The sequence below is a fragment of the Homo sapiens genome, chromosome 1 (assembly GCF_000001405.40).
Source record: "Homo sapiens chromosome 1, GRCh38.p14 Primary Assembly".
Taxonomy (NCBI): Eukaryota; Metazoa; Chordata; class Mammalia; order Primates; family Hominidae; genus Homo; species Homo sapiens.
In genome coordinates this window covers 110,679,998-110,696,738 of record NC_000001.11, presented here as the reverse complement: position 1 = coordinate 110,696,738, position 16,741 = coordinate 110,679,998, and the positions used below count along the sequence as shown (strand labels likewise).

General features: G+C 38.4%; 1 long non-coding RNA gene across 1 annotated transcript, besides 1 other annotated feature; it reads right to left on the bottom strand.

Annotated features, from left to right (window-relative positions):
- Positions 1 to 3,871: 3,871 nt before the first annotated feature.
- On the bottom strand, positions 3,872 to 11,080 carry LOC107985174 (uncharacterized). Its single transcript, XR_001738185.2, has 2 exons — positions 10,285 to 11,080; positions 3,872 to 4,305 (listed from the first exon to the last, which is right to left on the bottom strand). It is a non-coding gene; the product is annotated as an uncharacterized LOC107985174 (long non-coding RNA).
- Positions 10,360 to 10,449: a silencer, noted in NCBI's record as "silent region_1179". NCBI's record gives its function as "represses an Ori minimal core promoter by ATAC-STARR-seq in GM12878 lymphoblastoid cells {active_cell/tissue: GM12878}" and the evidence as "EXISTENCE:reporter gene assay evidence [ECO:0000049][PMID:35858748]".
- Positions 11,081 to 16,741: the final 5,661 nt, after the last annotated feature.

Genomic DNA, 16,741 nt, shown 5'->3' with positions numbered 1-16,741 from the left:
TTCCTAGAAATGCTCTCCCGCCTTCCCTCACCTGGAAAACTTCTACTCATTTAAGATTCAGCTTAAAAGTTGCCTCTTCTATTAAGACTTATTTTCCCAGTCAAAATTAGTCACTCCCTCTTCTAGGATCTCATAGTCCTATCTCTAATAAATTATTTATTATTTGTTTTACATTTCTTTATATCCCCACCTGACTCCTTTACAGCAGTAATATATATTGTTCAAACATACACCCTTAAAGTCTATAAGAGAAAGTCTGCAATAAATGTTTGTTGAGTGAATGTCCCCATCGCTGTGGTTAAATTGTATATGCACCACCAGAAGTTGAACAGACTCCAAAACTGAATTCAGATGGCTTCTGTGAATGAAGTTACTCTAGATAAAGGGGTAAGGGATGACAACCATCATTCATTCATAGAAATAACACAAACTCAAAACTACATTTGAGGGTCACCCAAAATATATTAATAGTCATGATGACTCACATATAATGTCAGGAAGAAAAATCTGAATTATGACTTTTATAATAATGCTTATTTGGCTTTTTCTTATGATAAAATTTATATATAATTATTATGATAAAATTAAAGTAGATATGTAGATAAATAAAAACAGAAAAAATCACTCATAATTAAACCATCCAGGCAAAATTACCATTAACATTTTGGTGTACCTCTTTTCACACATACAAAAATTTGTATGTGCTTTATCACATAACAATATATCGTGAGTATTTTCCATTTAATTACATTTTATTCTAAACCATGACTATATATCAGCCCGTTTTGTGTGTGCATATACAATAATGAATTTATCTACTTCTATTCTTGGACATAAAGGTTGCTTCCAACTTTTCAGTATTGTTAATAGTGCCAAAAATTATCCCTGTAGCTACCAATACTTCATATCAAAAGATTGTGCTAATTTCCCAGTAACAAGTCAAGTATGAGTGCCTGTTTATCTAAAACTCTTGCTAACTATGAGCATTTAGGCTGTGATCTTTAACTAGAAAAGAGCAAATCTAATCAACTATACGGTATTTTGTATCTAATAAAAATAATTATTTTCAGAATGGGGATGGGGGATAAGGCACCTGTAAACAGGATGGTCAAAGATAAAATCTGGTGATGCATCTGAGCCCATGAACACGAGTATTCTGTTTGTACAGCAGGAACCTTCTGAGGAAGATGAATGCCTCAGGGTCACCATGTTTGATGGTCCTGCCTCTCATGATCATCCACTTTCTCCACCTTTGGTCTCTGCTCACCTGGCTACATGCAGCCTCGGGGAAAAGCATAACCTTCTACCAACAAGAGCCCGATGGTCTTGTTAGGCTAACAACAAGGTAGTTCTCACTGTCAGTTGTCACTCTAATCCATGTATCAGTCACATGTCATAATTGTGTTAATGTGAGTCCATCTCCAGAAGACTTATTACCTCTGGCAAGGAATTTTCTGGACCAAAATTAGAGGTAAAACCTTAGATCGTTTCCAAACTTGCTGCCCAACAGTATCACTCAACCAAGGATATTTTGTTTTTTCATTATTTTTTTTTAATGTTGACTTCCAAGACCTGTCCCTGGAGATTCTAATTTGGGAGGTATGGGATAAGACCTAGGAATCTCTATTTTTTAAAGCTCCACAGCTGATTCTGATGTAAGCCAAAGACTGAGAACTATGGACCTAGACTGTGATGGCCTAACCAGGGTCCTTATCCTTCAAAGCTGGTCTAAGAGAGTAGCCAGCTTTCTCTAAGTAATAGCTTTTGTTTCTCTCTATGCCATTCTCAAATAGCAACAGGTTAAACCTAGGATAATAACGCCTAACGTGTCTTGTTCTTACTGTGTTCCTCACAATATTTCTGAGTCCTAAGGCTCAGTTTCCTCATCTGTAAAATGCAGTAACAACCTACATGTCAATACTTATGAAACAAAATAACTACTATGACAAGAAATATTATTTTAGTCAGAGCTTTCCTTTTCATCACAACTCTAAGCCTGGCTCTAAGCCTGAAACACAACATAGACAGAAAGTAGTAGTAGTAAGTGAACTTTTTTTTCAGTGGGCCAAACTCAAATGTTGAATTTGCAAAGCAGTTGTATGAGCTGTAGCAACTTTTGGAAAATGTCGTCTAAAACTCTTGTTGAAAATGGAGAAAATCTCACCTCTCCAGGACCTTTTCCTTTACTCTGCTTTGTCCCTGTAGGTCTCCTAGGGATTCTGCAAAAGCTGCTGTGGCTGTAACTCCCCGCTGGCTTCTCTAATGGCGAGAGTATGGCAACCTCTCTGAGGGTGGGACTTGGTTGGAGAATCTCCAAACCGGGCCAAAGCCAGCTGGGCTCTGCTGAAAATGAGGAAAGCCCAGTCAAGGCCTAATACCCAGCTACCACTCCAACTCCAAGCCCAAGTGCTCACAGCACCCGAAATGAAGAGAAAATTCAAAACAAATTCCTGCATTTTGTCCTAATCAGAATAGGAGTCCTTATGCCCTTGAAAAGATGAGGAGTTCAGAGAGAAAAGGGGGTGCTAGACAGCAATTCGGCAAGTAGAGAAAAGCAATGCATATGACTTTAGTTCTACAGAGTGGACCTATCTTCGATCTACTTTGTTATTGTAACTCAAATAACAAAAAGATGGTCTGATCATCTTATGATGGCCATCATTAGGCCTTGTGTTGGGACCCACTGCTCTTGCCTATACGATGGCAAGATCTTCTTTCACATTAGGGTGGAACCAGGACCACTTCATACATTCTAAAAGGCAGGCAGAGGATCCTAGGGACCAACCCAGTGCATACCCATATGCCAAACAAACCAGAGCACCCAAAGGCTCGAGATGGGGAGAACCAACCTACCATCCTGCACAACATGCTCATCCCCAGGACCAGACCAGGACTGGAGCAGGCCTGCCACCTGATCTCCTTCAGCTTTGCTCTTACCTCAGGCCTCACTCTGAAAGGTCTTAGCAGCAAAGGAGTTTCTAAGACTAAGAGCTGGGCACTGGAAGGCCCAGCACAAGTTCATGGAAAATACAACTCAAGCCTGAGGGAGAAGCCCTGCCTGCAGAGAACACAGTTATGCTGCATCTCACAACTACCCACCAAGTACTGGCCCTCCTATAATGATCCCATAGCAGTGGGTATCAGAAGGCTGCCTTTTCTTAGGGTCCTGGGTTCCTCCTTTGTCTTCCCACATCAGCCCCAGGAAGCCTGGGAATGCATGGGGATTAGAGTAGAGTCTGAAGAAGGAGAAGGGTGGGGAACCAATACTCAGCTGGGGAGAGACGAACTTTTACAGGTGAGCAAAAAATTGTCTGTGAAATATCTGCTCTCAGTGGGCCAAGGTGAGCATATTGCTGAGCTCTGTCTGTGACTAAGGATGGCTGGAAACATAAAATGCAGATAATTTTGAGTTTGTTTTTCTATTTCAATAAAGAAAAATATATATTTGGACTTTTTTTCTCCCTCTTTCTGGATGTAGCATTAGCTGGCTTCCTCCACAATAAGCCCCCAAATAGAACACATGCGTGAGAGGTGGGAGCATTGAGGACAGCCCAAAGACAAAATTAGAACCAAGTCCTGGGAGACAGCAGTATCCTAGACTTTTCACAAAATCTGCTTTCCAAATCCGGCTCCAATAACACTGCTCTTTTGCAAAACTGGCAACGGTTGCCACTGAGAATCTCAACAGTATATCATACTTGTCAATCTGGGTTCCTTGGCAATGATTCAACCTGTTGTGAACCCGGTATTTGCTTCTCTCCTCACCCCCACATTAGCTATCTCCCCTAGATCTCTTTGATTTCTTGTTTACTTCTCTCTTCTCTGTTTGTCTCATTGTTAGGAGGCCACAGCCAAATAACGGGAAAAGAAGGCAAGGCAGATGCTGCTTTTATTTTGTAGCTATTGATTATACGAAACACACCATCTCTGGGAAAAAAATGGGGCTAAATAACTGAAATAGGCAATTTGTAGAGACTAACCCTGTGTGGGCAGGGATACATTAGTTGAGCTCTAGTGTGCTCAGATCTCATTTCTGTGCTCAGTGATTCTCTTCATCTGGTTTGCTGATAAGTGAATCTCATCTTTCAAGACAGGCTATAAGTGTCAAATTATTTTTCTCTTCTTCTCCTGATAGGATACTTATCAGCAGCCAGCATCCTGTAAGTGAAGGTGACCTCAGATGGGATGAAAAGTTTTCCCTGTCAGTTCCAGCCCTGTAGATGGATCTTCATCCCAGGTGGAACTGGGTGCGAATGAACTTGTTTAGCTCAGCAAATCCAGGAAACTCAGCAGGCAGGAATGCTGCTATGGAAATTAACACAGTATAAGAATCTTAGTAGTGGACAAAGTGCTGTATGGGCACTTATTCATTGACTCAAATAAAAATAAACAGACCCAGAGCCAATCATTAATATACGGATGTCTCTGTCCAATGGCTATTTCTTCCATTCAAGTGAGAGGTGATGTTGAGCACCAATTTTTTACTTCCAGCAAACCCGAGCAAACACTTTTAGATTATGTCAAATTAAATATATACTAAGCACTGCTAAGTATTCAAAGTATTTTATTTCATTTAATTCTCACAGTCACCCTGTAAACTGATTATTGTCATCCACTTATCATAGATGAGGAAACTGAAGGCTCAGAGAGATTTAGGAACCCAGGGACCTAGAATTCAAACCTGTGTCTCCGGACTTGGAGTCTTGAGTTCTTCCTATTACCCCAAAGCTCCTCCAGACTTTGACCTGCACATACCCTGGGTGGATTTCAGACTACAAAAACTCGGAATTAGAGGGCAATCCAATGAAATAATCTGTAAACAAGTCAATGGCAAGGACATAAGCATTAACTAAGAGAACATACAATATTTTTCTGAAACATCATATTAGGCAAACTTGTGAATATGAAATTCTATATGTTTTGTTTTAAGCAATTTATGTTACTAAGTAAAATTAAAGAGTATGTTATGGGAATTAATGACGTACATTTTAAAGACTTATAGTTTCAGTATTTTTAAAAATAAAAAACTTTTATAAAAGGAAGACAGTTTTAAAGAGGAGACTTCAAAAAGTTCATAGAAAAATTGAATTAAAAGATAAAAATAAAAAAAATAAACTTTGTTTCTCAACATAAGCCCTTGTCAAGTTCAAGACACTTTTGTTAAGTGATGGTATCAGCCATTTAGTCCATCCCTAAAGAACTGAAGATCATGGGTTTTTTGACCATCCCAATGCAGTCTTTTTTACATTATATACTGAAGAAAAATAGGTGCCCTTTAAAGATTTTTTCAGATAAGGAAACAAAAGAAGTCAGAAGGAGCCAAATCAGAACTATAAGGTGGATGCCTAATGATTTTCCACTGACATTCATAAAATTGCACTTCTTTGTTAAGAAGAATGAGCAGGAGCATTGTCAGAGTGGAGAAGGACTCTCTGGTGAAGCTTTCCTGGGTGTTTTTTCTGCTAAAGTATTGGCTTTCTCAAAACACTCTCATAATAAGCAGATGTTATCACTTTTTGGTGCTCCAGAAAATCAACAAGCAAAATGACTGGAGCATTCCAAAAAACTATTGCCGTGACCTTTGCTCTTGGTGAGTCCGCTTTTGCTTTGATTGAACCACTTCCACCTCTTGGTAGTCATTGCTTTGACTGTGTTTTGTCTTCAGGATCATACTGGTAAAGCCATGTTTCATCTCCTGTTACAGTTCTTTGAAGAAATGCTTCAGGATCTTGATTCCACTTGTTTAAAATTTACATTGAAAGCTCTGCTCTTGTCTGGAGCTGATTTGGGTGCAACAGTTTCGGCACCCAGAGTGGAAAGTTGCTCAACTTTAATTTTTCAGCCAGAATTGTGTAAGCTGAGCCAATTGAGACATCTATGGTATTGGGTATTATTTCTGCTGTAATCATCTACACTCTTCAATTAGTGCATGAACAAGATTAATTTTTTCCTCACAAATCAATGTGGATGGTCTGGTACCATGGGCTTTATTTTCAACATCGTTTCATCACTTCTTAAAACAAGCTATCCATTTGTAAACTGATTTCTTTGGGGCCTTGTCTCCATACACTTTTCATAAAGTATCAATGACTTCACCATTCTTCCACCCAGGCTTCACCATAAACTTGGTATTTGTTCTTGCTTCAATTTTAGCAGAATTTATGTTGCTCTGATAGGGGCTCTTTTCAAATTGATGTCTTATCTTTCTTACTGCCCCAAACTAGTTCCTGTTCAGACATGTTATAACAAGTTAACACCAGGGTTTTTTTGTGCAGCAAAATTTTGAAATCCATGTATAGTGTTTTCATTTTCCATCAACTTTTTGAAGTCCCATTATCTATAATTGGGAGTGATGATGTTGTTGCTAAGACAGTTAAAATATAGGAATATTTTAGAAGGTACCCATGAAGAAATGTACTGGAGCATATGCAGATGTGTCCACCAGTCTAGACCATGCCACTCGATTAAAAAAAATCATGAAATGGAGTTTATTATACAGGAATTCTCCAGAGTAGAAATGTCACAAACATATATGCAGAAAAATAATTGTGGTGCTCTGGCAGAGGGGATATATCAAACATGAAAACTAAGAAACATCAAAGTAAAACCAGTTGTCTCTAGAACAGAGGTGGTTGACATACCCTTTTCAGTGCTTGGCAACCAAGGCTCTGCACTGCTCTGGGATCAGTTCAGAAGGTCAAACACTCTCATATCATTAGGAAAGGTTTATGCTAAAAATAGAATACCATAAATGTATTTGGCTAACAGGAATCTTGAAGCAAAATGACTTAAGAGCTCCAGAAAACTATAATTATTACTGCCACTATTAGAAATCATCTTTTTTAAAAGGCTCAAATATATACACATGCATATATTATATATAATTATATAGACATATTGGTAATCATCTTTTTTAAAAGAGCCAGTATTGTATAAAATACTTTAGTGCTTTATGTATGTTATCTCCAGTCCTTCACATTTAAACAACTGTTTAAGAATTTTATTAAACCAACTTCACTCCAAAAGTAGCTCTAATGTTCAGGTCAGTTTTCCCATTTACATGATAGAACCTCAATTTGTCTGAAAAAGCGAGTATCCTCATAAGCCATTACCACAACTTTTAAATGAAAAAAATATATAAAAACATAAAATGTACTTTTATGTTTTTATACATTTTATATGACATACAATGTACAATTAGTACTTTTTGCTAATTGCCCAATTGCCAAGAGGTATAATGAATAATACATTTTAAACAATCATTAATTAATTTAATTCATTTATTTACTTACTTATGGTATTGATTTTTGCTTTTGTAACAAATTACCTATTCTCACATTCTATTTTGATACATTATGCTAAATATTTGGTAGGTGCGTAATAGACACATAAATTGATCCCCATATAACTGGCCAAAATTATTTCTGACATCTCTTATACATAGCAGAACTCTCCAATAATCTGTGTTTGGAGTAGGAGACAACATTCAAGAAAATAAATCAGATAAATATTGCAATTTACAATGGTTCAGCATATTTACTGTGGATGTTGCTATTCTTAGCATTGATCACATTAATACTTTTAGGCTGTATGAATTTATATTAGTAAGAACTGGAAATATTTAATCGGGGATTTTTAAATCCCTTGTGCATCTTTAAAACATCATGCACAAATGTGATGATAATGAGCTTAAAAAACACTATCAGCAATGAGGATTATTATAATATTAATTGAAGTTGCATTCCTACAATTTAATGCAGTCCTAGAAGAAAAAAGAAATGACCAAAGTCAAACAAGAAGAAGAAAATAAATCACTACTCGGTAATATTATTTCATTAGCCAGATAAAGATAGGCTAAAAGCCTGTTTGGCCTGTTCACATCCTAATCTAAATTCTGTCTTTGACTGTATATGAAGGTTCCCATTAAGGGTCAGGTGATTCACAAAACCAATTGATGATGTAGCTGAGGACAAAATCAGTCCCATAATATGTTTGTGTGCTGCTAGTCTCTGGTTGATAAAGTGCAGTGACCCACAGGAGTTGCAGAGTCGTGCATCATCATCCCTCATGCTTTTCCTATGTCTTCTTATCGCTCAAGCAGAAGTGGCAGATAATGTTTTTCTAGCTGGTGTCATAGGTCCGGAAACCTCAGAATATTGCATCTTCAATGGGCAGTACACCAGGGACAGTATTGCAAATCAATTAGATATATTTCATATTTGAAATTAAGTTGTCTGATTCCCAACATGTCTTCTGTCTTCAAAGAATGATGCATTTATCTTCTTGCTTATTTGGCAGAAATTGGGCTGACTGGAGTTAAAGACTGTTTTCTGACTCAAGAATTAATCTATCTCAGCAACTGAAACTACTTTATATTCCAGCCTCAGAGCAGAAGGGTCCTGCTTGTCTCTGCCCTATATTATACAGGAGTGTTATGAATTTTATTGCATTTACACAAATCCGATACTATGTGAAAGATGCAACTAAATTAATAAATATCTTGCTAAAGCTGCTATGAGGCTTTGGGGAAGGATGGGTGGGGATAAAGCTGTAGGGAAAATGATTTAAAATATATATCAATCTGGCTTTATATAGTTGTCACATCGAAATATAAGTTTGAAATCCATGACTTTATTCTCATGAGGGTTATATTTGTGTGCAAAAGAAGCATTAACTTTGCACTTTATACTCTGCCTCAGAAACTTCATAGACCTGGGACATGATACAAATTACAAAAATGTTAAAATGGGAGGAAATGGCATAAATGGTTGCAAACTATGACCAAGACTGCATGCAGGCAGCAAAAAGTTATGTTAAAATTTATCAGTGCAATGGCTTCTTTGGTCATTATAGAAAATGAATAATTCATGAAATGCTCAATTAATAACTACAGAGACCTACTATGTACAAAGCACTATACAAGGCACTGAGGAAGGTAATCATGAAAAAAAATATGGCCCTGTTCTCATCATCTAAACAAAGAGATAATAAAACCAATCTATTTTGGAATTTCCTAAACATGTTGCTTTATTAAACCAAGAGATCATCATTCATCAGGTAATTAAAAAAAACCTGGCAAACTGAATGTTCTACATTTCATTGTCATGCAGTCAATTTTCTGTTGTTATGTTTATTATTTTAGGAAAATGATCTCAGAAAACCCCAGTTATAATAGATTTTATGTGGCATATAGTTGGAGTTTTTTTTGACCTCCAAAGTCTATTGGGATTTAGTAACATCTAACCACAAAGGAGTATTCCAGTATTCTAATCATCCTCAACATTTCCTCTGACTCAGGCACACAGCATTATAAAAAGTAAGAGCTGTTTGCTTATTAGTGTCTCAATATCCGGGGTTGATAATGTAGCTCAACCATTTATGAAGCACTGAAGTACTCAGATGCACTTAAAACACTCTCAGATTACATATTTCAATGTGAGCATCTGGAATATTCTCTTTAGTTGGCACCTTTGATTCCATTCTTCATGCTGAGGTGGGCCCAGAGCCCTTGTGTTTTACAATTAGAACTAATTAAGTTTCAGCCCATTTGTTTAGAAATCAACCTTGCAATGGGTGTCAGGAGTACTTAGCGATGCATTATCTCCCAAAACTATGCAGCCAGTGTTATCTGGGCACAAAAGGGCACTTATCTCCATTAATAATATGTATTACCACAAAACAGTCAGTTCCTACATCTCTTGGATATTGACATTTAGGGATTGAATCTCTCCTTCCAGATTTTGCCATTTTGTTCTACTCCATGCAGGAAAGTGATGTTCCCTGTACCCATCTCTGAAGCCAGTAGTCTTGTAGGGTCTAACCCAAAAGGGCATCTTCTCAACATGATAGCAGAGGAGGGGAGGTCAGCTACATCCATAGTGGGAAGAATGACCACTCCCATCCATACTGGGGTTGGTATAGCAGTAGAAATCAGGAAGCTTGACATTGGGTAGGCAATGGATCCCTGGTTTCAGGACTGCTGCCCTTGAAGAGCAGGATACAGACAGGAGTTGGTGACACAAGGAGTAGGGCTGATCTCCCAAGGAAGATCCCGGTAGGAGCTGGTAGGGAGGTAGTCCAGTTTAAACAAAAGGAAAATGAGGCAGAACTCGTCTTAAGAACTAGTGGAGTAGGACAAGAGGTGGGGTAGAAAATAACTTGCCAGACATGCAAATACCTTCATGCTTACATTGGCATATCGAAATTAAGACCTACTCCAGGTCTCATTCGGCTGGTGTGGCTGTGGCTTCTGCCGCAATTAGAATAATTTCAAGAATCACATACCATTGATCTTGTCAAGTGCAGACTCCACATGCAGAGGTTGAGGAAGGCAGTGGAGACATGCACTCTCCAGCAGGTGGCCACCTGCAAAGCCACCAAAAGGACAGAATTTCAAGCTGTGCCTAAGACCTCCCACTGCACCGGGACACCACAGTAGGATGTAGGGACCCAAAGGATAGGAGGTCTAGGTAGGAAATCCTGATTTATGGGCAGAGGATGACTAATAAATCAAGAGGTTGAAAAATGCTTGTAAGGGTAAAAAGGCTAGAAGAAAAGGAAGGCAACCGTAGATCTTGGCAGAGAAGTTAGCCAGTGCAGTCAGGTAGCCATAAGCAGGCAGGACTGGGGTGGGTTCAGAGAGGTCAGCTGAGGCAGGATGTCTCAGGCATGTATAAAAGTAGGAAACGTGTCTTGTTCATTTTAGATTCCCAGTGTGTAGCCAGCATAGGTATTGTGGAAAGGAAAGCAAGGAGAAATGGAGAGAGGGACAGAGAATGGGCACCACATCATGAGTGAAAAAGAAAAGAAAAATGTAGAAATAGAAGTCAATTTAACTTGGCTGGAAATTAGTAACATTAGGTTCTATCCTGACTCTGCTACTGATTAAATGCTGGACTTTGGATATAACTGACTTAATATTTTGAGACCGTACTTATGCCATCTGTAAAATAAATGTGTAGACTAGATAACCTAAAAGTAAAGTTTCCTGCAACAAATGTTTTTTGAATGCCTACTAACTGCTAAATACAAGTTTTGAAGAAACTGAGATAATAGGAGTAATAGGGCCAGGCCTGGTGGCTCACCCCTGTAATCCCAGCACTTTGGGAGGCCAAGGTGGGCAAATTGCCTGGGGTCAGGAGTTCGAAGACAGCCTGACCAACATGGCGAAACCCCATCTCTGCTAAAGTTAAAAAAAATTTAGCCAGGCATGGTGGTGGGCACCTGTAATCTTAGCTACTTGGGAGGCTGAGGCAGGAGAATTGCTGGAGCCAGAGAGGCAGAGGTTGCAGTGAGCCAAGACTGCGCCATTGCACTCCAGCCTAGGTGACAAAACTCCGTCTCAAAAAATAAAAATAAAAAAAAATGGGAGTAATAATCAGGAAAGGCCAGAGTTCTGATTCTAAAGCATGTACTTTGTTCTCTGACTAATTTTGTAAGCCCTGCTAAATGTAGGTGATTTTGGACTACGTATTAATTAAAGCCGTAAAGTTGTGTCCCTCTTCAAGACACAACAAAGATGAAGGATTTGCATTGCATATGGCCTTTTGCAATCAGAAGTATGAACATCCTAATGCATCTCACCCTCCCTGCATTATGCATCTATGTTGTATAGAAAATATAAGTGAGCAAGCAATTATTGAGCATCTATTGTATCTAAGGCAAGGAGTTGAATACTTCCACCTCTATAATCTCATTCAACACTCGTAGCATGTGGCTTAGATATTATTTTCTTCATTTTACATGTGAGAAATTAAGACAGAGAGAGGTAAAATGAATTTCTCAAGGGCATTTTAACTCCAGAAACAGTAGTCTCCCTTATCTGTGATCTTGCTTTCCATAATTTCAGTTACTCTCAGTCAATTGTGGTCTGAAAATATTAAATGAAAATGTATAGAAATAAACAATTCATAAGTTTTAAATTGCATGCTGTTCTGAGTAGCATGATGAAATCTCTTGCCCTCCCACTCCATCCCTCTTGGAAGGGGAATTCTCCCTTTGTCCTGTGTATCTACACTGTATATGCTATCCACTCCAGTCACTTAGCCCATGAGTCACTTAGTAGCCACTTGGTTATCAGGTCTACTGTTGTGGTATCACAGTGCTTGCGTTCGAGTTAACACTTATTTTACTTAATAGTAGCCTCAAAGAGCAAGAGTAGTGTTGCTGGAAATTTGGATATGCCAAAGAGAAGCTATGAAGTGTTTCCTTTAAAAGTCAAAAGGTGAAAGTCCTCAACTTAATAAGGAAAAAACATCTTATACTGAGTAAGAACAAACCTTCTGTCTGTGAAATTGTGAAGAGGGAAAAAGAAATTTGTACTAGTTTTGCTGTCATACCTCAAACTGCAAAAGTTATAGCCACAGTGCATGACAAGTGCTTAGTTAAGATGGAAAGGCATTAAATTTGTGGGTGGAAGACATGAACGGAAACATGTTATGATTGACAGCAATTATATTCAGTACTATCAGTGGTTTCAGACACCCACTGGGGGTCTTAGAACATACTACCCATGGATAAAAGGCAGAGGACTATAATTTGATTCCAAGGCTAGAACCCTTCTAGTACACTACAGCACATCTTTACATTAGCTTGTTCTGAATAACATAATGGATAAACATGCTCATACTGTAAGCTTTACCTGAAAGCTAATCTTCAACATAAAAGCATTTGGCAGAAAGTTCTGTTCACATGCATGTTAAGGCTGGCATGCTACAGGTGGATTCCTAAGTTTGATGGGGGTGGGAAATCAAGACAATTTATCCTTACAACTGATATATATCTCCATTTGTTCATTATATAATTCACTTAAATGACTATATAAACAATGAACCTCAGTGTAAGTTGGTTTAGTGTTTCTAACTGTGCATGCCAATATACATAACTCAGTCATGAGGCATGCTAGGACTTCAATAGGTTGGGAATGGTGAGATTTCATGCTAGGAGAATAAATTCAGCTTTAGGACAGGTCCCCAAGAAGGGTGGCCAGCTTCTCAAATTATAAAATCCTAGAGGGAAGGATAAAATTCGGATGCAAGTTGGGAAAGCCTCATCACTCATAAGGTCCAAACCAGTGGAGGATGCAAGCCACAGAATGGCCATGGCAATGGCAATACTGGTAATCAGGTGGGTGGTGGAAGCTGTGTAGCTCCAAGAGATTCACCTGGCATAAATAAGGACTCCAGCCCATGGCAAGGTTCAGCCTTTGAGGAGCCTACTAAGGGCTAAAAAGAAAAATGGAATCTCAAACAAGACAGTTGAGGTTTCAGGATAGGGCTTCAGTATCAACGGAGAAACTAAAGAGAACAGTAACAAGCTAAGACAGAGTATGTTTCTATTGTCATGCAAAAGATGGTGAAACCTCAGAACCAGGATGAACGTTTATAGGCAATAAGGGGCCCACTTCAGACACACTGAGCTTAGAGCAGCAAGAAAGATTCTAGATCTTCCACCAGGGATTGAGGTAAAGATCAGATTTTCTGATATATTTCCATAAGTTTGTTTAAAATTGGCTCTAGAATTAAATTGTCCTGAGCCTATAAATGAAAGCTTTCAATACTTGCAGCTGTGCCTGGGTCAGGCAAGGACGGATGTATCATAACATGTTGAATTTTATTTGCATCCATTTTATAACCAAGTAATGTATCCATTGCATCATATCTCAGGTATGATGAAATCCCCAAAGAATTCTATTCATATTCTTTTGTTATTATAATACTCAGTGTTAACTGGATCATTATGGGCCTTCATATACTTTCATTAACATTATTACAATTGTAATGAAAACTCAATAAAAGTGTAATGCTATTCTACAGACATGTTCTTGAATTGCTTTATCAACATAATTACAAAACCTAATGACAAAGTAATAACACTGTAATATGATGCCTGCAATAATAAGTTTTGGGTTTCACCAGATGGTAATACAAAAACCTCAATCAAAATGTATCCTTGACCTTACAGCGTTTCAATAATTTCCCATAGGTGTTTGCTTACAATGTCAATTTATGTTCAACAGTTCACATTAATGTCAACTCAATCATATAACTGAAATAATCCATTTTAGTTCTTGAAATTAATTTTATTGTGACTTACCACAGTCTCACAACAAAGTACCTCACAGAAGGAACATGAGGAAATAAATTAATTTTCAAGATATTTTTAAACATTCTTAGCCAAATCCACTTTGAGAAAAATCATAGTGAAAGTATTACTTGTAGTGTACATCTTGCTAAAAGAGAGGTAATATGTTTGCTAGTACTCTAAAGCCATTCAATTGTTTCTACAAATGTTGAGAAGATTCCCATCTGCAAATAAATAACTGGCATACATGGGCTTTAAGGCTTATCTCATCATTAACTGTATGTCTTATCTATGATTAGAGGTGTGACTGTGCCTGCTTTTTCAATAAATTAACTACAACCCGAAAAGGCTATGCAAGTGGCTCAGTGTCTGATTGCTGTCTCTTACATATAGAGGCTCAAGGGCTTATATTAATGCCCAGTCACACAATACTTTTAACTCTTTGGTTGGCATACTTGCTGAAAAGAGTTCCAATCTTCCCTGACTAAAAATGTTTTTCTTTTTCTTTTATTTTATTTTAGAGACAGAGTTTCGCTCTGTCACCCAGGCTGAAGTGCAGTGGCTCAATCTCAGCTCACTGCAACCTCTACCTCCCAGGTTCAAGTGATTCTCCTGCCTCAGCCTCTGGAGTAGCTGGGATTATAGGCACGCACCACCACGCCCAGCTAATTTTTTGTATTTTTCATGGATACAGGACTTCCCTATGTTGGCCAGGCTGGTCTCAAACTCCTGTCCTCAAGTGATCTGCCTGCCTTGGCTTCCCAAAGTTCTGGGATTACAGGCATGAGCCAATGCGCTCGGCTTAGAAATGTTTTTCTCAAAATCACTCTGCCATGTGAGAACAAGGACTTAGACTGCTGGGTCTTTCTGAGGATACGGCAACACTGGAGAGCCATGTTAGTCCCAGTCAGGACCTATATCTGCATCTACTTCTGGAATAACTTTCTCTTTATACCTTGCATCTTTCTTACTTCTTAAAAAAAATGGTACAGATTCAGGAAAGCCCATGTATAGCCCTTGCATTGAGGAACACGACTAATTCTTTCATCATGGTCTATCAGTTTTTTAGCAAATAGCTAGTATGCTTCGTAATCATTTTTCTTCTGTTATACTATATGAAAAGCATTTATCATATAGCAACACAATACCAGAGACTGGAAATACAAAGATGAATAAGATAAGGCCTCTAATCACCACAGAGGTAGCCTACAGTAGGGCTTAAGGATGTGAACTTCTTGGTTTGAATCCTAGTTCTACCATTTTCTAGTTATATAACCTTGCACAAGTGAATTCACCACCCTGCATTCAGTTTCTTTATCTGTGAAATATTACTACTGCTATTACAGTAGTAATATTATCTGCCTTACAGGGCTGTTGGAGGTTACTGCATATAAAGTGGTTAGCACCATGCCTGACTTAGCATAGTGTATTCACTGCTCAATATGTTAGCTATTAGTATTATGGAGTTCACATTCTCATAGGGAGACAGATCATATCAAACACACCTAAATATAGTACAATAAAGCCCTCTAATGGGGCTTTAAACAAAATACCGTAAGAGCTCTGATGAGAAAGAGTATCACTGAATTCATTTATCAGTTACATGGAATCTTCTTTGAAGTGGTAATTATGACTGACAAGAAGGTGGGGCTCTTAAAAGAAGTGGTCCCTAAGCTGGGACTTGAAGATTGAATTCACCAGTGGAAAAAGGTGAAAGGAGTATCCAGCAAGCTAGAGCATAAGCAGCTAGCATGAGCAATGGCTCAGCAGTGTGTAAGTGGATGACCTGTCCAAGGACCAGCAAGTAGTGTGGAGATGCGGCCAGAATGACAGGTCAGAGCCAGGGTTTGGCCATCATGGCAGCAGTGGAGAGCAATGTGATCCAACCTATGTTTTACAAAAATAACTCAGCTATATCCTGGAGGATAAAACACATAAAAGAGAGACTGCAAGCAGGGAGCCTGTTATGAAACTGTCATGGCAGCCTGAACTGGGACAGTGGCAGTGAGAATGGAGAGGTATGGACAGAATTGAGAAGGGCTTGGAGGGGGAATGGAAAGCACTTAGTGACTGAATAGATGTGAGAGCAGAGGAAGGATGCAGGGATGACTCCGTATTCTAGCACAAAAAAAAAAAAAAAAAAAAAAAACAGGAAGAGAAGCAAGTTTGGGGGAGAAGATAATGAGGTCAGTGTTATAAATATTAAGTTTGGGGAACTTCAGGAAGAATATCAAGTGGGGGAGTTTAAAGTATAATTCTGGAGTGCAGGACAGACCCCTTCAGGATGGTGGGAAGGGAAGGTGAAAAAAAAAGGGAAGAAGTGGCACTTAAAAAACAATCCTTGTATATATATGTGTATAGCCTAACTGGTTCTATGAACCAGAACTAGACAGATACGTCTTCAAAATAAACACTTGGCACACACACACACACACACACACACACACAGAGAGAGAGTACTGTCACATGTCTGTATGTTCATTCTGTACCTTTTCTTTCTTCCATTAAGCATCTACGATGTGCCTGGTACTCTTCCAGATCTGGAGCATACAGAAGTCAAAAAGCCCAAACCCTGCCTTCAAGGAGTTTATTTTTTAGTGCAGGTGACAGACAATAAGAAAGTAACAAAATAAATATAAAATATAATGTCAAGTAAATA